The 21,411-nt window shown below is 41.9% G+C and overlaps 1 protein-coding gene and 1 long non-coding RNA gene across 16 annotated transcripts in view; one reads left to right on the forward strand and one right to left on the reverse strand.

The window, feature by feature from the left end:
- The window catches only part of CNOT10 (CCR4-NOT transcription complex subunit 10), an 88,688-nt gene that overhangs the window by 43,620 nt on the left and 23,657 nt on the right, over nucleotides 1-21,411 (forward strand). For 6 of the 15 annotated variants that reach the window (XR_007095661.1, NM_015442.3, NM_001393367.1 and 3 more), the window contains 3 exons: nucleotides 4,616-4,737; nucleotides 5,993-6,169; nucleotides 8,603-8,683. Coding sequence is in view for 13 of the 15 variants with exons in the window: in NM_015442.3 (NP_056257.1) it covers nucleotides 4,616-4,737; nucleotides 5,993-6,169; nucleotides 8,603-8,683 (380 nt within the window). In the remaining 2 variants the exon portion in view is untranslated. The remainder of the gene's footprint in view (nucleotides 1-4,615; nucleotides 4,738-5,992; nucleotides 6,170-8,602; nucleotides 8,684-21,411) is intronic. The other 9 variants (NR_046352.2, NM_001256741.2, NM_001393369.1 and 6 more) reach the window with 2 other exon arrangements.
- Nucleotides 1,828-8,650, reverse strand: CNOT10-AS1 (CNOT10 antisense RNA 1). The gene is made up of 2 exons (NR_046718.1): nucleotides 8,592-8,650; nucleotides 1,828-2,237 (listed from the first exon to the last, which is right to left on the reverse strand). It is a non-coding gene; the product is annotated as a CNOT10 antisense RNA 1 (long non-coding RNA).

A 21,411-nucleotide genomic window follows, 5' to 3' on the forward strand; every position in this document is an offset into this window, starting at 1 on the left:
AGGTCTGATAACAGCCAGGTGCGGTGGTCACGCCTGTAATCCCAGCACTTTGGGAGGCCGAGGCGGGTGGATCACGAGGTCAGGAGATCGAGACCATCCTGGCTAACACAGTGAAACCCCCGTCTCTACTAAAAATGCGAAAAATTAGCCGGGCGTTGTGGGCCTGTAGTCCCAGCTACTCGGGAGGGTGAGGCAGGAGAATGACGTGAACCCAGGAGGCGGAGCTTGCAGCTAGCCAAGATCGCGCCACTGCACTCCAGCCTGGGTGACAGAGAGACTCTGTCTCAAAAAAAAGTTCTGATAACATAATGTGGAAAGAGCTGCATTAAGCTGGATTTCCATCAATGCCTGAGGGTTTTACTTTGGTTTCAGTAAATGATACAGAGTTTATGGATTACCAGGCTGTTTCTCTCTGACACATGATTGCCCATGGTAGCTATGGGAATAGGCCAGTTTACATTGATTTCCATGCTTAGATAATCTCTAAATGGCAATTGGTGGAAGCCTTTTGAATTTCAATTTGGGAGGGATCAGTAGGAGATAGGGGAAAGACGGGTTGTGTCAGAATTACCAGATATGTGTGTCTTCCATTTGCTACCCCATGCCCTGCCCTTGCTGTGCTTTTTGGGTGTGTATAGACATTGGGAAGGTATGGTACCTGGAGGTTTTACCTTGCATGCCTACCATAGGTGATATAAGATGTTGAGGCTCTCCTCCCGCTGAACAGCAGTTTCTGAGAAGTACAAGAACTAAGGGGATTAAAGAAGTGTGTTTGCTAGTTTTCATACATGGTACTTAGGTAGTTTGTGATTTGAGTATACCAACAGAGGAAGAGATGAGTGATTTGTCTTTGAAAGACTTTAATGATTTAATTATACTTTGCTTTTTAAAAGACAACTTTCTTATTGGTTAATTCTTAACTGATAAACAGTTCTAGGCAGAATTTATACTTCTTTTTTTTTTTTTTTTTTTTTTTTTTGAGACGGAGTCTCGCCCTGTCGCCCAGGCTGGAGTGCAGTGGCGGGATCTCGGCTCACTGCAAGCTCCGCCTCCCGGGTTCACGCCATTCTCCTGCCTCAGCCTCCCAAGTAGCTGGGACTACAGGCGCCCGCCACTACGCCCGGCTAATTTTTTGTATTTTTAGTAGAGACGGGGTTTCACCGTTTTAGCCGGGATGGTCTCGATCTCCTGACCTCGTGATCCGCCCGCCTCGGCCTCCCAAAGTGCTGGGATTACAGGCGTGAGCCACCGCGCCCGGCCCAGAATTTATACTTCTTAAAGATAAAAGAAGCAAATAGAAATTGCTTATTCTCTTTAATCTGTTTATAAATTTAAGTGTTGGGCGCCTTTCTTTGGTATTTACTGGAAACCAGGGAGTTACCTTTTTCTGGGACTAGGGAAAGATTGTAAAGTTTAATATTTTCTTTTTAAATTAACTGGTTTTAGAAATAGTACTTTTAGGATTGTGTTCTACAGAAGCCATTAAGCTTACAAGGTCTCCTCCCCTCCCCCTAGAGGAGAAGGAGCGGGAGGGGAGGATAAGTATTTTCCATATTAATATGCTGCCAGTCCTGTTTTTTTTTCTAGAAAAGTTGTAAATTTGTAATTTTTAAAAAATGGTAAAGATGACTTTCGGTTGCCATAACTTCATGAACACACACAATTTGTGCTGCTAATAGGAAACTTGCCACCAGTAATATCTTTGTGCTTTTCCTCCTCCTAAAAAAAAACTTTAGGGTAACCTAAAAAACAGTAAAAACAAGCCCAAAACACTAATAAAATCAGAGGACAAATCCCAATACGAGTAATTGTAAACTCCAAATAAAATTCCATAAAATTTGTTTTATTTAGTCAGGACAGGAGGTATGCTGAACAAAGTAGTTTGTACCTTCAGAAATAAATTCATTTTGGATTTAAAAAAATTAACTTGTTTATGCTAAGGAGGACATTTTGTCCTGAATATCTGGTACATATTATTTCAGACTTGGCAGAGGCAAGGCTTATATTTACCTGGGCAGTGTATAAATATGGGAAAAGATCTGCTAAACAAAAATAGTCCCAATATTTTAATTATGTATGATCCTTTTACCTTAAAACTTATCTGGCACACTTTCTGGCTATCGGTGCTTGAAGGTATGGATTATTATTCTACGTTTTTTAGTTCCATTCCATCGTGGGCCAGTTTGTTTTCATCTGTTGCATCTTCGTATCTAGCCATTTGGATCAGTTTTCATGGCCTTAGCAATAAGAAAAGAGAAGAGAATATGGATGAATCCATGTAAATTGATTACCACAACTAGGAAAAGAAGTCAGAACGGAAGTCCTCACAATAATGGTTTAAAATATCCACTTTTTCATTAATATTGCATGGCCTTCTCTATACACAATTAGTTTTGATCAGAGAAGTTTTATTGTATTTTTTAGCACTGTGTAGTATGTTCTTTATTAAAAGTCATATATGGAAGTGCAACTATAATAAGTTACATTCAGGAGCAATAAGTAACAGTACAGAAACATTTGTGTTTAGAGAAAAGACTTTTTGCAGGGCAGAGATTAGTTTTGCAAATTCATATTGATTGACTCCGGTTTGTTCTGGTATGTGAGAATTTGGATGTCATTATAAGATAACTACTTGGGATTCCACCTGCAGGTAAATTAGAGACTTGTTTTATTTTATTTTATTTTTGAGACAGAGTCTCACTCTTCACTCAGGCTTGAGTGCAGTGGCGTGATCATGGCTCACTGCAGTCTCGACCTCCCTGGTGTCAAGCGATCTTCCCTCCTCAGCTTCCCTAGTAGCTGGGACTATAGGCATGCATGACCGCACTTGGCTAATTTTTGTATTTCTTTGTAGAGGTGGAGTTTCACCACATTGCCCACACTGGTCTCAAGTTCCTGGGCTCTAGCGATCCACCCGCCTCAGCCTCCCAAAGTTCTAGGATTACAGGTGTGAGCCACCTTGCCCAGCTTAGTTTTATTTTTTAGATTTGGCCTAGAGCAGTGGTTCATGCCTGTATTCCCAGCACTTCGGGAGGCTGAGGCGGGTGGATCAGAAGGTCAGGAGATCAAGACCATCCTGGCTAACATGGTGAAACTCCATCTCTACTAAAAATACAAAAAATTAGCCAGGTTGTTGTGGCACCCACCTGTAGTCCCAGCTACTCAGGAGGCTGAGGCAGGAGAATTGCTTGAACCTGGGAGGCGGAGGTTGCAGTGAGCCGAGATTGTGCCACTGCACTCCTGCCTGGGTGACAGAGTGATACTCCATCTCAAAAAAATAAATAAATAAAAGATTTTTTCTGGCTGGGCGCGGTAGCTCACACCTGTAATCTCAGTACTTTGGGAGGCCGAGGCGGGCGGATCACTTGAGGTCAGGAGTTTGAGACTAGCCTGGCCAATGTGGTGAAACCCCATCTCTACTAAAATACAAAAATTAGCCAGGTGTGGTGACAGGCGCCTGTAATCCTAGCTACTCGGGAGGCTGAGGCAAGAGAATCACTGGAACTCAGGAGGTGAAGGTTGCAGTGAGCCGAGACAACACCGCTGCACCCAAGCCTAAAGAAAAATTTTCCAGCCTCAGCAACTTGGCAAAACCCTGTCTCTAAAAAAAATAAATAGAAAAATTAGCCAGTCATGGTGGCACACACCTGTACCTGTAGTCCCAGCTACTTGGGAGGCTGAAGCAGGAGGATCACTTGAGCCCAGGAGGCCGAAGTTGCAGTGAGCCGAGATCATGCCACTGTACTCCATCCTGGGCAACAGAGCCAGACCTTGTCTTAAAAAAGAAAAAAAAGAAAGGAAAAAAAAAAAGGTAGATACAGGGGGGTCTCACTATGTTGCCCAGGCTGGTCTCACACTCCTGGTTTCAAGTGATCCTCCTGCCTTAGCTTCCCAAAGGGCTGGGATTACGGGCATGAACCACTGCACCCAACCAAATTAGAGACTTAGAATGAAGGGGGATCATTAATCAAATTATCACTGTGAGCTCTGTAGTGAGATAATACATCTTAATCAAATATCCTAAAGTACTATGTATGTGTAAGTAGCTTTTATTATTTTCAGTTTAATGTTTATTCATTTGGTTTGGGGATTTTAATTTCCTAGAAGGCAAGTATTGTGTCCATGTAAATTTTTACCACGTACAGCTTATTAAAGTTTATATATTGTTGACAATGTAATTAATACTTTGAATTAAGAAGGAAATGATCTGTGTTTAGGAAGTGGAGCGACTTCCTTTTTCTTTTACACTATTTTGGGCTCTCTTATTTTCCTTACTCTGATGTCAAAGTACCTGTAACATGTAGCATGGTACTGGAGGTCTAGAATATTCTAAGTAAATGATTCTAAATAAATTATTGGGACATAATTGAATTGGATTTTGTTCGTAGAATTTTCTCCAATCTCATGTAAACAAAATGTAGCACATATCCCAGATTTTCAGCCTTATATACTTTTTCCACTAATACCAAACATGTTTCCATTATCACCAAAAAAAGTCCTCATTGACTTTAAGAACTTTCTTAAATTTAGAGTAATTGTGAGAGATATTCCCTCATTTTTTATACCACATCTTACAATTCCCTTAAATTTATTGGAAATTATTTGTATTTTGTAGACTTCTGAACAAGAAACTAAAGGCCTTCCCAGCAAAAAAGGAATTGTACAGTCTATTGTTGGTCAAGGCTATCATCGTAAAATAGTTTTGGCATCACAGTCTATACAGAATACTGTTTATAAGTAAGTATTTTGCAAAGAAAAAGTGTATATATATTTAATACTAGTTTACATAATGTTACTTATATATAAAAGTATGATTAGGATTTATCATTGCATAGGAGGAACCACTTTGTAACTAGATTTTATTGCTATTTCAACAAACAGACCCTCATGTATAGGTCCATAGTGAATGTTATCTAACATGATTTTGGTTTATTACATCCATGGGTGCTGCAATTATTGATGGCCTAGGAAACCCTAGTCTGTTCAGTGCCATTATTAAGAATGTCCAGAAGAGGGCATCTTGGTATTTCCTTTTTATGTACTTTTGGTTATCATTGATACTTTTCATTTGGGTATTTTCTTATAGTCCCTAGGACTGAAAATACATGAAAGGGAATTCTTACTATTCAGAGAAAAAAGGTGTATTAAAACATAAAGCAACCAAAGCAGTATAGAAGCTGTCACATGTATAATCTTCATTTGACAATTTGGAATTGCCATTATTTGTAAAGTGGCAAACTTTGCAAATAATTAGCTGCCTTAATTTGTTTTTGTCAAAGAAGAAAATTGTTCTCTACCATTTAAAAGTTTTTCCACAGTTTAAAAAATATCTGATACACAATAATTTAGTCTTAATTTAGTTAAACTATAATGCAAGAATATTTTTTAAAACTATTATGATAAAGCATTTCAAAGTTTTAAAGCAATTTCAAAGTTGTTACTACTTTTCAAAATTTTATTTTTCTCTAGTAAAGATTCTCTTTGGGTATATCAAACCAACAGAAAGTTGTATAAAATGTCAATGAAATTATAAGACAAAAAGTAATGTTGGTGTTTCAAAGTGTATAGAGGCATTTTTGAAAGCAAGGATCAACCAAAGTAAGGCTCAAACGTGAAAATCTGTTTTCTTCCCTTTCGTCCCATTCTTAGTATACCTCTCCTTGCCCTCATTACAGTTGCCCTTGTCTGCAGTTTCTCTAGTATGTTAACATTAACATTGTGATATACATCAAATTATCTCTTCTCCTTGGTCTCATTCCTAGAGACACAGTGTATGTAATTTATATACTTGCAATCCATTATTTATACTATTTACAACCTATACTTAGGATTTGGGTTCTTTAGCATGCTTTTATAACTGCTTATATTAAAATTTCTACCTATCAAAAGGCATAGCTTTCATTTATAATCAATTGGTTTTATTCCTCATAATAAAAGAGCCTTATTTTAAAATATTTTATCCACTTAGCTAATTTGGTTTTGTTCTTTTAAGTGATGGGCAGTCTTCGGCCATTCCTGTAGCCAGTATGGAGTTTGCAGCCATATGTCTCAGAAATGCCTTGTTGCTGCTACCTGAAGAACAGCAAGATCCAAAGCAGGAAAATGGGGCTAAAAATAGTAATCAATTAGGTGGGAACACAGAGAGCAGCGAAAGCAGTGAAACTTGCAGGTATTCTAATCCTTGTGACCTCCTTTGGCAAAATCCTTTCAGGACTTCTTTAGTAAACCCTTTGTTCTTTAAGTAAATTCCTAAAATCTTCAACCTGAATTTCTGAAATTCTGTTTTGCGTAACAAGAAAGGAAAGTATTTATGTTTCTGAGTCTTTCTGGAAGAGAGAAATAAGGTGAAGGCTAAGTTAGGAGAGATCCTTGAAAAAGAAAAGTAGAAAGTAGCAGCTTTGGCCGGACGCAGTGGCTCATGCCTGCCTGTAAAAGGCTGAGGCAAGAAAATTGCTTGAACCCAGGAGGCAGAGGTTGCAGCGAGCCGAGATTGTGCCACTGCACTCCAGCTTTGGCGACAGAGTGAGACTTCATCTCAAAAAAGAAAGTAGCAGCTTTTCATTGACAAGAGGGATATTTGTAAGAAGTCCTGTTGTCAGACAGCTTTAAAAAAAATTTGGCCAGGTGTGGGGGCTCACGCCTGTAATCCCAGCACTTTGGGAGGCCAAGATGGGTAGATCACTTGAGGTTAGGAGTTCAAGACCAGCTGGCCAACATGGTGAAACCCCGTCTCTACTAAAAATACAAAAATTAGCTGGGCGTGGTGGTGGGCACCTATAATCCCCACTACTGGGAAAGCTGAGGCAAGAGAATTACTTGAACCCGGGAGGCAGAGGTTGCAGTGAGCCACGATCATGCCACTGCACTCCATCCAGCCTGGTGACAGAATGAGACTCCATCTCAAAAAAACAGAAAATTTATTAAAATAAACACTTGACTCCTAAAGCTGCTTATTTCTTATTATCCTCTGTCTATCCTCTTAATATACTATAATCACTAACCTCCAGAATATTTTTGTATATTTCTGGTTTTCTAGTATAAATTCAAAATTATGCAAATCTAGGCAGGGTGCTGGAGGAGGCCAAGAGTTCAAGTCTAGTCTGGGCAGCATAGCAAGACCCCATCTCTTCAAAAAAATTAAAAATAAGTAAATAAAAATTATGTGACTATAGAAATTGGGAGAACTTTTGGTAAGGACAAAACACATACCATTATATATAGGGAATTCAGCTTTTTTCTTTCTTTCTTTTCTTTTGTTTTCTTTTTGTTTTGTTTTTTGTTTGTTTGTTTGTTTTTGAGACAGAGTCTCCCTCTGTCACCCAGGCTGGAAAGCAGTGGCACGATCTCAACTCACTGCAACCTCCACCTCACAGGCTCAAGCGATTCTCCTGCCTCAACCCCCTAAATAGCTGGGATTATAGGCCCAGCGCCACTATGCCCGGCTAATTTTTGTATTTTTAGTAGAGATAGGGTTTTGCCATGTTGTCCAGGATGGTCTTGAACTCCTTACCTCAAGTGATCCTCCCTCCTCGGCCTCCCAGAGTGCTGAGATTGCAGGCATGAGCCACTACACCCAGCTGGAAATTCTGCTTTTTATACATGGCATCGTTAAACTTACATCTCCCATCCCAGCATTTTTTCTTGATTATAATAGCAATCAATACATATTTACTATAGAAAATTTGGGCCAGGCATGGTGGCTCACACCTGTAATCCCAGTGCTAAGGGAGACCAAGGCTGAAGGATTGCTTGAAGCTAGGAGTTCGAAGCTAGCCTGTCCAACATAATGAGACCCCATCTCTACAAGAAATAAAAAAATTAGTTGAGTGTGGTGCCAGGCACCATTAGTACCAGCTACTTGGGAGGCTGGTGTAGGAGGATCGCCTGAGCCCAGGAGTTTGAAGCTGCAGTGAGCTATGATCATGCCACACTGCACTCCAGCCTGGGCAACAGTCTCAAAAACCCAGTCTCAAGAAAAGGCAGGGGTTGAGGGGTCAGGGTAATTAGAATAATGAGAAATGCGCGAAAATATTCAGTTATTTCCCTTTTGTAGTAAAGATACTGTTTTCAGTTAGAGATTTTTTAAAGCAGTATTGGAGGGGTGGGGGCAGTGGGGGAAGAAACTAATATACAATATAGCTTTAACATGTTAGTGTTACCAAATTACTAAGTATTTCCATTGTTTAACTCTTTTACACTTTTGTTGTAAAAAGTTACATGGGAGGCCGGGCGAGGTGAGACACCTCTGTAAATCCTAGCACTTTGGGAGGCCAAGGCAGGTGGATCACCTGAGGTCGGGAGTTCGAGACCAGCCTTGCTAACATGGTGAAACCCCGTTTCTACTAAAAATACAAAAAATTAGCTGGGCGTGGTGGTGTGCGCCTGTAATCCCAGCTACTTGGGAGGCTGAGGCGGGAGAATCACTCAAACCTGGGAGGCAGAGGTTGCAGTGAGTTGAGATCGTGCAATTGCACTCCATCCTGAGCGACGAGCAAAACTCTGTCTCAAAAAAAAAGTTGGGAGTAAGGACAGGGAAACAAAATTTTACGTTTAATTATTTATTTGTTGCTCTTCATAATTAAGACTCTTACCTCTATTTTAGCAGTAAAAGCCATGATGGAGATAAATTCATTCCAGCTCCACCTTCTTCTCCATTGAGAAAACAGGAATTAGAAAACTTAAAGTGAGTATCTAAACAAAATTAGCATTGCATCTATTGAAATGAACATATTCATGGCTGGGCACAGTGGCTCATACCTCTAATCCCAGCACTTTGGGAGGCCGAGGCTGGTGGATCACTAGGTCAGGAGTTCGAGACCAGCCTGGCCAAGATAGTGAAACCCTGTCTGTACTAAAAATACAAAAATTAACCGGGCGTGGTGGCAGGCGCCTGTAATCCCAGTTACTTGGGAGGCTGAGGCAGGAGAATTGCTTGAACCCGGGAGGCGGAGGTTGCAGTGAGTGTGCCACTGCACTCTAGCCTGAGCAACTCTGTCTCAAAAAAAAAAAGAACACATTCTTTTTTATCTTGTTGATACTGTTAATATGATGAATTACACTGATCAAATGTTAAACCAATCTTTCAATCTTGTGATAAACCCTACTTGGTCAGAATGTATTTTCTTTTGTATAAATTTTTAGATTTGATTTGTTAATACTTTGTTGGGAATAAGTGCTTCTATATCCGTGAGGAAGATTGGTCCATACTTTTCTTTCCTAGAAATGATTTTGTCAGATTTGGTTTCAGGATTATGCTGACCATATAAATGAGTTGAGAAGTGCTTCATCTTCCTCTGTTTTCTGCAAGAGTCTGTGTAAGATAGGTATTACTCATGGACACAAAGAGGGGAACAACGGGCGCTAAGGCCTCCTGGAGGGTGGAGGGTGGTAGAGGATCAGAAAAAATAACTATTGGGTACTAGGCTTAGTACCTGGGTGACAAAATAATCTGTACAACAAACCCCCATGACACAAGTTTACCATATAACAAACCTGCACATGTAGCCCTGAACTAATAAAAAGGACAGGTATTACTTCTTCCTTAAGTATTTGATAGAATGCACCAGTGAAACCATCTAGCCTAGGATTTTCTTTGCAGGAAGATTTTTGATAATGAATTCAACTTGTTCAACAACACTTTTTTCAGATTTTATATTTCTTTTTTTTTTTTTTTGAGATGGATTCTCGCTCTGTCTCCCAGGCTGGAGTGCAGTGGCGCGATCTCGGCTCACTGCAAGCTCCGCCTCCTGGGTTCACACCATTCTCCTGCCTCAACCTCCCGAGTAGCTGGGACTACAGGCGCCTGCCACCACACAGGGCTAATTTTTTGTATTTTTAGTAGAGACAGGGTTTCACCGTGTTAGCCAGGATGGTCTCGATCTCCTGACGTCGTGATCCACCCACCTCGGCCTCCCAAAGTGCTGGGTTTACAGGCGTGAGCCACAGCATCCGGCCTGTATTTCATCTTATCTCAGTTTGGTTAAGTTTTATTTTTCAAGGAATTTTCTAAGTTGTCAAATTTATTGGCATAACATTGTTCATAATATTTTTTTTACCTTTTTAATGTCTGTAGAATCTGCAGTTATACCTCTATTTTCTTTCTTTTTTTTTTTTTTGAGTTGGAGTTTTACTCTCTGTCCCAGGGTGGAGTGCAGTGGTATGATCTCGGCTCACTGCAACCTCTGCCTACCAGTTTCAGGCGATTCTCCTGCCTCAGCTTCCTAAGAAGCTGGGATTACAGGTGCCTGCTAGCACGCCTGGCTAAATTTTTGTGTTTTTAGTAGAGACGGGGTTTTACCATGTTAGCCAGGCTGGTCTCGAACTCCTGACCTCAGGTGATCCACCCGCCTCAGCCTCCCAAAGTTTTGGGATTACAGGCATGAGCCACTGCGCCCGGCCAGTTTTCATTTGTGATATTTGTGGGATCTCTTGCTTTCTCTCCTTTCTTCCCTAAGCAATCCTGCTAGCAATTTACATATTGGATTGATGTTTTCAGAGAATAGACTTCTACTTCATTTTCTGTTTTCTATTTCGTTTCTGCTCTTTATTTTATTCTTCTACTAACTCTGGTTTATTTTGCTCTTTTTTTAACTTCTTATGCTGGTCACTGATTTTTAGATAAAGGTCCTTTTCTACACAGTTCCCTTTAAGCCTGCTGTGACTTCCTTCCACAAACAGTTATGTTTTATTTGTTTATTTCACTCCATAGTGTCTTTTTTTTCAAAATTAAACTTCATTTAGAGACGATTGTAGATTCACATAATAGTCTAAAAAGTAATACAGATACCTGGGCAACATGGTGAGACCCTGTCTCTAAAAAAATCAAAAAATTAGGCCAGGTGCAGTGGCTCATGCCTGTGATCCCAGCACATTGGTGGGCTGCAGAGGCAGGCAGATCAGCTGAGGTCAGGAGTTCGAGATCAGCCTAGCCAACATGGTGAAACCCCATCTCTCCTAAAAATACAAAAGTTGGCCAGGTGTGGTGGCGGGTGCCTGTAATTCCAGCTACTTGGGAGGCTGAGGCTGGAGAATCACTTGAGCCCAGGAGGCAGAAGTTGCAGTAAGCCAAGACCGCGCCGTTGCACTCCAGCCTGGGCAACAAGAGTGAAACTCCGTCTCGAAAGAAAAAAAGAAAAAAAATTATCTGGGCGTGATGTTGCATGCCTGTGGTTCCAGGTAGCTGGCAGGCTGAGGTGGGAGGATCACTTTAAGCCCTGGAGGTCATGGCTGCAGTAAGCTGTGATTGTACCATCAAACTCCAGCAAGGATGACAGATCGAGGCTCTGTCTCTAAAAATAAAAAATAATACAGAGACCTCATCTACCCTCTACCCAGTTTTCTCAAAGGCAACTTCTTACAGAACTTTAGTACATGCTGGGTGCGGTGGCTCATGCCTGTAATCCCAGCCCTTTGGGAGGCCGAGGTGGGCGGATCACGAGGTCAGGAGTTCAAGACTAGCCTGACCAATATGGTGAAACCCCATCTCTACTAAAAATACAAAAATTAGCTGAGTGTGGTGGCGTGTGCCTGTAGTCCCAGCTATTCGAGAGGCTGAAGCAGGGGAATCGCTTCAACCGGGGAGGCGGAGGGAGGTTGCAGTGAGCCAAGATCGTGCTATTGCCTAGACAACAGACTCTGTCTCAAAACAAAAAAAGAACTTTAGTACAATATCACAGTCAAGATATTGACATTGATACAGTAAAGATACAGAACTTTTTTTGTTTTACAATATTTTCATTACATTCAATTTCTTAAAATTTTTTTAAAATTTTGTGGCTGGGCGCGGTGGCTCATGCCTGCAATCCCAGCACTTTGGGAGGCCGAGGCGGGTGGATCACAAGGTCAGGAGATCGAGACCATCCTAGCTAACACGGTGAAACCCTGTCTCTATTAAAAATACAAAAAATTAGCCGGGCGTGGTGGCGGGCGCCTGTAGTCCCAGCTACGCGGGAGGCTGAGCCAGGAGAATGGCGTGAACCTGGGAGACGGAGCTTGCAATAAGCCGAGATCGCACCACTGCACTCCAGCCTGGACGACAGAGCGAGACTCCGTCTTAAAAAAAAAAAAAAAAAAAATTTGTGTAGGTGTGGGGTCTTGATGTCCTGCCCAAGCTGATCTCAAACTTCTGGCCTCAAGCAATCCTCCCACCTTGGCCTCCCAAAGCACTGGGATTATAGTTGTGAGCCACCGTGCCTAACCCAGAACATTTTTATTACTACGAAAGATCCCTCATATTGCCCTCTTATAGCCATACCCACTTCCACTCCTGCTCCTGCCCCTTATTTAACCCTTGGTTACGACTAATCTCTTTTTAATTTCTATAATTTTGTCTTTCAAAAATGTTATATAAATGGAATCATACAGCATGTAACCTTTTGGGATTGATTTTTTTCATTCAGTATAATTCTTGGAAAATTCATTTAAGTTTGCTGAGTAAATCAATTGTTGTTCCTTTTTATTGGTGAGTATTATTCCATGGTATGATTGTACCTCAGTTTAATCATTCACCTTTTGTAGGACATCTAGCTTTATTCCATTCCAGTTTGGGGCTGTTACAAATAAAGCTGCTAGAAATATTCACAGGTATTTATGTGCACATAAATCTTTGTCTCTCAGGATGAACGTCCAACAGTGCTGCATAGTAGGGGAGTTACATGTCTAATATTTTAAGAAACTGCCAAGGCCAGGCGTGGTGGCTCACGTCTGTAATCCCAGCACTTAGGGCGGCCGAGGCGAGCGGATCACGAGGTCAGGAGTTCAAGACCAGCCTGGCCAACATAGTGAAACCCTGTCTATACTAAAAATACAAAAAATTAGCCAGGCATGGTGGCGTGCACCTGTAGTCCCAGCTACTCTGGAGGCTGAGGCAGGAGAATCGTTTGAACCCAGGAGGCAGAGGTTGTGGTGAGCCGAAATCGTGCCACTGCCCCCCAGCCTGGGCGACAGAGCGAGACTCCGTCTCAAAAAAAAAAAAAAACAGAAGAAAAGAAACTGCCAAACTCTTTTAACAGAGTGACTATACCATTTTACATTCCCACCAGTGATGTATGAGTGATCCAGTTTCTTTACCACAATATTTCTTATTTTCTTTTTTAAAAAAATTTATTTTTTCATCACATACTTGTTTTGATATTTGTGTGTGTTGTAGGTTTTTATTTTATTTTTTATTTTATTTTATTTTATTTTTTTGCCAGGCTGGAGTGCAATGGCATGACCTCGGCTCACTGCAACCTCCGCCTCCTGGGTTCAAGCAGTTCTCCTGCCTCAGCCTCCCGAGTAGCTAGGACTACAGATGTGTACCACCACGTCCAGCTAATTTTTGTATTTTTAGTAGAGACGGGGTTTCACCATGTTGGCCAGGATAGTCTCTTGACCTCGTGATCCACCGACCCCGGCCTCCCAAAGTGCTGGGATTACAGGCATCCCAGCACCTGGCCTGTTATAGGCACTTTTTACTTTACTCATTCTAATAGGGAAGTAAGATGTGTAGTGCTATCTCATTGTGATTTTTATTTGCATTTCTCTAATGAACTTCTTTTCATGTGGTATAGCTTTTTGTTTTGTTTTGGTGTGTTGTCATTGTTGCCGTTGTTCTGAGACAGTCTTGCTGTGTTGCCCAGGCTGGAGTGCAATGGAAGGAACTCAGCTCACTGCAACCTCCGCCTCCCAGGTGCAAGCGACTCTCATGCCTCAGCCTCCTGAGTAGCTGAGATTACAGGCATGTGCCACCACACCCGGCTAATTTTTGTATTTTTGGTAGAGATGGGGTGTCACCATGTTGGTCAGGCCGGTCTCAAACTCCTGAGCTCAAGTGATCTGCCCGCCTCAGCCTCCCACAGTGCTGAGATCATAGGCGTGAGCCACCGCATCTGTCCTTTACCAGTAATTTTGTAGTCTGTAAACTGCTCTGTACCTTACTTTGTTCCCATATCAGCACAAACCTTTGTTTCACTCTTTCTCATGGGTGCCTAGAGTTGCATTTTGTGGATATGATCTAATTTATCTAACATTGCTTTTTATTGAGCTGTTTATAATGTTTTCAGCTTTTGCTGTTACAAATAATGCTGCAGTGAATATGGTTATACACATTTAAAGGGAATCCTTAATGAAGAAGACATTTGAAACAGTTTTTCAAACTTGATTTAAGTTTTACAAGTTTACTTGAATGAATACTAATCTTTTTTTTTTTTTTTTTTTGAGATAGATTTTTGCCCTTGTTCCCCAGGCTGGAGTGCAATGGTGTGTCTTGGCTCACTGCAACATCCGCCTCCTGAGTTCAAGCAGTTCTCCTGCCTCAGCCTCCCAAGTAGCTGGAATTACAGGCATACGCCACCATGCCCAGCTAATTTTTTATATTTTTAGTAGAGGTGGGGTTTCACCATGTTGGTCAGGCTAGTCTCGAACTCCTGACCGCAGGTGATCCATCCGCCTTAGCTTCCCAAAGTGCTGGCATTACAGGCATGAGCCACCCACCCAGCTTAATGAGTACTAATCTTAGGATTGCTCTATTTTTGTGTGCAATTTAAGAAGTATATTGTTTCTGCCAGGTGTGGTGGCTCACGCCTGTAATCCCAGCACTTTGGGAGGCCAAGGCAGGCAAATCGCCTGAGGTCAAGAGTTCGAGATCAGCCTGGCCACCATGGTGAAAACCTGTCTCTACTAAAAATACAAAAAAAAATTAGCTGGGCATGGTGGCACACACCTGCAGTCCCAGCTACACGGGAGGCTGAGGCAGGAGAATTGCTTGAACCCAGAAGGCAGAGGTTGCAGTGAGCCGAGATCGTGCCACTATACTCCAGCCTGGGAGACAGACTGAGACTCTGTCTCACATACACACACGCACAAAAAGTAGTATATTGTCTTACGGTGGTTAAACATCTGCAGAGTTGTGTAATTTAACTTTACCTTCTGAGAATGTCATTAAAGAGAAGTGTACATACAGGATGGGATTCCTCTCAGAGTTTTGTACCTTTCGTGGGTACAGCTGTTTGCTTTCCATATGTCATAGTAGGAGGATTGATGATTTTCAAAGAAAATAATATTACTTCCATTTTTTTTGTGTGTGAAAAGGAGCATAGGGCTTCCATAGGGAATGCCGTCATCATAAAGTGAGGCAAGGGTGGATTCTGTAGTATATATATATTTTTTTCTTCTGGAGCAGATGGGAGGGAGAAAGGAAACAGTACAAGATGGAAGGAGCCTTAGGGTAGATTTATAAAAAGGACTGCTATGCCAGACAGTAGCAATGGTAATGTGGACACAAATGGTGAAGGGGAGGAGTCGTAAAAGAATTGTGTCGTAATTTTCAAAGCCATAAAGCTCACAATGCAGTTGGGTGTGTTAAAGGGCAATTCTGTGGCAGGAGCCAGCTGTCTTCTATCTAAGGAGCCTGAGCACTGTGTTTTAAGATTGTGAAATTCTTTGAGATTTCATCTATTTCTGACCTGAACTCTTTTAGATTATTGAAAATGTGACTAGTATATAGTTTAGCTTTTATGGACTATCATATTTGACCCCTTGTGTTCAATAATACCCAAGACACCAATGCAAAGCCCCATTTTCTGTTTCCAGCATAACTAATATGCAGTAAATTATCATGACTTTTCCAATGGCCACTTTTTATGATACGGGTTTATAGCCCCTTGAGTATTTTCGGTTTTTTTCATTTGTACATAAATTAAGGTAAGTCCAAAAAATTTCATTCTAACCAATTTACCAAGTATATTTTTAGAAGGCAGATAATAATTAAAGAAGTTGTGAGATTGTATATTAAATCAAGGTAGTTTTCAGAAAAATATTCTCACAATTGAAATTAAAATGTGGCCCCAAATTAGGAAAACGTCTCAGAAATCAACTAACTAGTTTAACTGTTAAGGTTTGGATGAACTTAGAGATACTAATATAATGGATCAAGAAAGTTATATAGTCATCCTTTGGTATCCTTGAGGGATTGGTTCTAGGGCCCCCAACAGATACCACAATCCTCAGATATAAAATTCCTTACATAAAATGGTGTAGTAATTGCAGATAACCTGTGCACATCCTCTCATATACTTTACTTATTTTTATTTTATTTTATTTATTTTTTTGAGACATAGTTTTGCTCTTGTCACCCGGGCTGGAGTGCAGTGGCTCAATCTTGGCTCACTGCAACCTCCGCCTCCTGGGTTCAAGTGATTCTCCTGCTTCTGCCTTCCAAGTAGCTGGGATTACAGGCGTGTGCCACAATGCCTGGCTAATTTTTGTATTATTAGTAGAGACGGGGTTTCACCATGTTGGCCAGGCTGGTATTGAACTCCTGGCCTCAAGCGATCCGCCCATCTTGGCCTCCCAAAGTGCTGGGATTACAGGCATGAGCCACTGCATCCAGCCTTCTCTCATATACTTTAAGTCATCTTTAGAGTACTTATAATACCTAGTGCACTATATATGCTATATAAACAGTTGTCATACTGTATTGGTTTTTAATTTTTAAAAAATTATTGTAGTTTTTTTTATTATTATATTTTAGAATATTTTCTATTTATAGTTGGTTGAATCTACAGATTTGGAACCTGTGGATTCCAAGCACCAACTGTACACATAATGACACTTTTAGAAATTTGCTTCAGTTTCTGAACCACTCAATGCTGTATGAAGCCATAAGTTTTATTCAATTAAGGATTGAATAAACATTCTGTGCCCTGGAATTAAATAAATGCTATGACTTTGAAATTTTAAGGTGATTGTGTTCCTAGATGTTTACCAAAGAGAAACAGAAACTTGTCCATAAAAGAATTTTATAGCAGCTTTACTCCTGGTAGACAAAACCTAGACATAGCCCAGGTATTCATCAGTAGAAGAATGGATAACTAAGTTGTATTACACTTGTATTTTGGAATACTAGTCAGCTATAAGGAAGAACCAGTGAGGTCGGGCACAGTGGCTCATGCCTGTAATCCCGACGCTTTGGGAGGTCCAGGCAGGCAAATTGCTTGAGTCCAGGAATTTGAGACGAGTGTGGGCAACATGGTGAAACCCTGTCTGTACAAAAAATTGGCCAGGCATGGTGCTGCACACCTGTAGCTCCAGCTGCTCGGGAGGCTGAGGTGGGAGGATCACCTGAGCCCTGTAGGTTTGAGGCTGCAGTGAGCTGAGGTTGCACCAATGCACTCCAACCTGGGTGACAAAGTGAGACCCTGTCTCAAACCAAAACCAATTACTAATGCACAAGTTAACATGGATGAATCTCAAAACATTTTCCTGTTTTTTCTTTTCCTTCGCATAAGGTATCTACTGTGTGATTCCATTTATACCATTTATATGACAAACAAAACTTTATGAATAGACAAAACTAATTTATGTTGCTAGAAATCAGAACAGTGGTTGCGGGAATTGACTGGAAAGAAATATAAACGCATCAATTTAAGCAGCAGACCCCAGCCTTTTTGGCACCAGGGACCAGGATCATGGTAGACTATTTTTCTGTGGACAGGGTTGCAGGGGAGGTGGTTTCAGGATGATTCAAAAACATTACATTTATTGTGCACTGTATTTCTATTATTATTACATTGTAATATATAATGAAATAGTTATACAACTCACCATAATGTAGAATCAGTGGGAGCCCTGAGCTTGTTTTCCTACAACTAGATGGTCCCATGTGGGGGTGATGGGAGACAGTGACAGATCATCAGGCATTAGATTCTCATACGGAGCACACAACCTAAATTCCTTGCAGGCGCAGTTCACGATAAGATATGCACTCCTGCCGGGTGCAGTGGCTCTCGCCTGTAATCCCAGCACTTTGGGAGGCCGAGGTGGGCAGATCATGAGGTCAGGAGATTGAGACCATCCTGGCTAACATGGTGAAACCCCGTCTCTACTAAAAATACAAAAAAATTAGCCAGGCGTGGTGGCAGGCGCCTGTAGTCCCAGCTACTCGGGAGGCTGAGGCAGGAGAATGGTGTGTACCCAGGAGGCGGAGCTTGCAGTGAGCCAAGATTGCACCACTGCACTCCAGCCTGGGCGACAGAGCGAGACTCCGTCTCAAAAAAAAAAAAAAAAAAAAAGATATGCACTCCTATGAGAATCTAATGCTGCTGCTGATCTGACAGGAGGCAGAGCTCAGGCAGTAATGCAAGTCATGGGAGCAGCTGTAAATATAGATGAATATAGCTGTAAATATAGGTGTGGTGGCAGGCACCTGTAATCCCAGCTACACGGGGGGCTGAGGCAGGAGAATCACTTGAACCCGGGAGGCGGAGGTTGTGGTGAGCCGAGATTGTGCCACTGCACTCTAGCCTGGGCGACAGAGCAAGACTCTGTCTCAAAAAAATCAATATAATAGGCTTGGCAGGTGGCTCACACCTGTAATCCCAGCACTTTGGGAGGCCAAGGCAGGTGGATCACCTGAGGTCAAGAGTTCGAGATCAGCCTGGCCACCATGGTGAAACTCTGTCTCTACTAAAAATGCAAAAAAATTAAGCGGGTGTACTGGCGCATGCCTGTAATCCCAGCTATTAGGAGGCTGAAGCAGGAGAATCGCTTGAACCCAGGAGGTGGAGGTGGAGGTTGCAGTGAGCCCAGATGGTGCCATTGCACTCCAGCCTGGGCAACAAGAGTGAAACTCCGTCTCAATAAATAAATAAATAAATAAATAAAATAAAAATAATTTTACGTGTTTCTTTTAATGTTATTTTTTAAACGTGTCTGTTAGAAAAATTTAAATTACATTTATGGCTTCAATTATATTTCTTCCTTTTTTTTTTGTCTTTTACAAAAAAATCTGTACCACAAACTTTCACTACACCACACACAAACTTCTGGCCTCAAGCAATTCTCCCACGTCAGCCTCCTGGATAACTAAGACCACAGGCATGGGCTGGGCTCGGTGGCTCACGCCTGTAATCCCAGCACTTTGGGAGGCCGAGACGGGCAGATCACGAGGTCAAGAGATGGAGACCATCCTGGCCAACATGGTGAAACCCCGTCTCTACTAAAAATACAAAAATTAGCTGGGCGTAGTGGCGCGCCCATGTAGTCCCAGCTCCTCGGGAGGCTGAGGCGGGAGAATTGCTTGAGTGCAGGAGGCAGGGGTTGCAGTGAACCGAGATTGTGCCACTGCACTCCAGCCCAGCGACAGAGCAAGACTCCGTCCCAACGCTCCCCCCACCTCCAAAAAAAAAGACTGCAGGCATGTACCGCCATGCCCAGCTACTTTTTTATTTTTTGTAGAGCCAGGGTCCCACTGTGTTAACCAATCTAGTCCTAACACTCCTGGGCTGAAGTGAAACTCCTAGGCTGAAGCAGTCTTCCCACCTTGGCCCCCCAAAGCATCGAAATTACAGGTGTGAGCCACTGCAGTTGGCTATGGCTCTAATTATATTTCTCTTGAACAGAGCTGCTCTAAGGTTTTAAGACAAGTGTGTTCGAATGTTTGTATGCTATAACATGATTTTTACGTGTGTGAATGTTGTTACTATGTCACAGTTTTTTGTACCACAAATTTTAACTGAATTATTTCTCTTTAGAAAATTTTTTTTTGTTAAAAGGCCTAATACCCAAAGGAATCTTAGAACACAGTTTCTTGGGCAGGATTGATATTTTGGCTATATTCTTTGATTTAGATGTGAATGTTTGCTGCATACATTTGGGAGACGATAGGTTTTTGAAATAACAATGATTGATCGCAATAGAATAATGTATTTTTCTTCTGATATGTTTTTTGATATTTATTTATTTAGAGATGGAGTCTCACTCTGTGGCCCAGGCTGGAGTGCAGTAGCGCAGTCTTGGCTCACTGCAACCCCTGCCTTCCGGGTTCAAATTATTCTCCTGCCTCAGCCTCCCGAGTAGCTGGGATTACAGCTGCCCACCACACCCGACTAATTTTTGTATTTTTTGTAGAGACGGTGTTTCACCATTTTGGCCAGGCTGATCTCAAAAACACGTGACCTCAAGTGACCTGCCCACCTCTGCCTTCCGAAGTGCTGGGATTACAGGTGTGAGCCACCATGCCCGGCCTGTTTTTGTTTTTGTGGTTTTTTTGTTTTTGTTTTTTGAGAGGGAGTCTTGCTCTGCCGCCCAGGCTGGAGTGCAGTGGCACAGTCTTTGCTCACCCACCTCCGGGTTCAAGCAATTCTCCTGTCTCAGCCTCCCGAGTAGCTGGGATTACAGACATGCATAACCACACCCAGCTAATTTTTGTATTTTTAGTAGAGATGGGGTTTCACCATCTTGGCCAGGCTCGTCTCGAACTCCTGACCTCAGGTGATCCACCTGCCTCGGCCTCCCAAAGTGCTGGGATTACAGGCATGAGCCAACGCATCCGGCCAAGAGTTCTTTATATGTCCTAGATACAACTATCAGATATATGACTTGTAGTTATTTTCTCACATTCTGAGGGTTGTCTTTTCACTTTTTTGAAGGTGCCCTTTGAAGCATAAACGTTTTTCATTTTGATGAAAGTTAATTCTTATTTTTGTTGTTGCTTGTGCTTTTCATGCCATTTCTAAGACTTCTTCACTAAATCCAAGATCATGAGGATTTACCATGTCTTCCTATAAGAATTCTAAGTTTTAGCACTTACATTTAGGTCTTTGATCCATGTTGAGTTAATTTTTTTTTTTTTTTTTTTTTGAGACTGAGTTTTGCTCTTATTGCCCAGGCCAGAGTGCAGTGGCATGATCTCGGCTCACCTCAACCTCCACCTCTTGGGTTCAAGTGATTCTCCTGCCTCAAGCCTCCCAAGTAGCTAGGATTATAGGAATGTGCCACCACACCTGGCTAATTTTGTATTTTTAGTAGAGACAGGATTTCCCCATGTTGGTCATGCTGGTCTCGAACACCCAACTTTCGGTGATCTGCCTGCCTCGGCCTCCCAAAGTGCTGGGATTACAGGCATGAGCCACTGCGGCCTGCCTTATTTTGAGTTGATTTTTATAGATGAGGAAAGATAAGGCTCAACTTCATTTTTTTTTGCATACTACGATCTTGTTAATAGTAGAGAAATATCGGGTGATGGGTGCACCAAAATTTCACACATCACCACTAAAGAACTTGTGTAACCAAATACCTGTTCCCCCACATACCTATGGAAATAAAATGAAGGAAGGAAGGAAAGGAGGGAAGGAGGAAGAAAGGAAATAACTGGGTGTGGTGGCTCATGCTTGTGATCCCAGCACTTTGAGAGGCTAAAGTGGGAGGATCCCTTGAGTCCAGGAGTTCAAGATCAGCCTGGCCTACATAGTGAGACCTTGTCTCTACAAAAAATTTAGTCTGGTCATGATAGCGCGTGCCTGTATTCCTAGCTACTTGGGAGACTGAGGTGGGAGGATCGCTTGGGCCCAGAAGATAGAGGCTGCAGTGAGCCGAGATCACACCAGCCTGGATGACAAGAGCTAGACACTGTGTCAAAAAAGTAAGGCCTGG

Source organism: Homo sapiens, chromosome 3 (assembly GCF_000001405.40).
Source record: "Homo sapiens chromosome 3, GRCh38.p14 Primary Assembly".
Taxonomy (NCBI): Eukaryota; Metazoa; Chordata; class Mammalia; order Primates; family Hominidae; genus Homo; species Homo sapiens.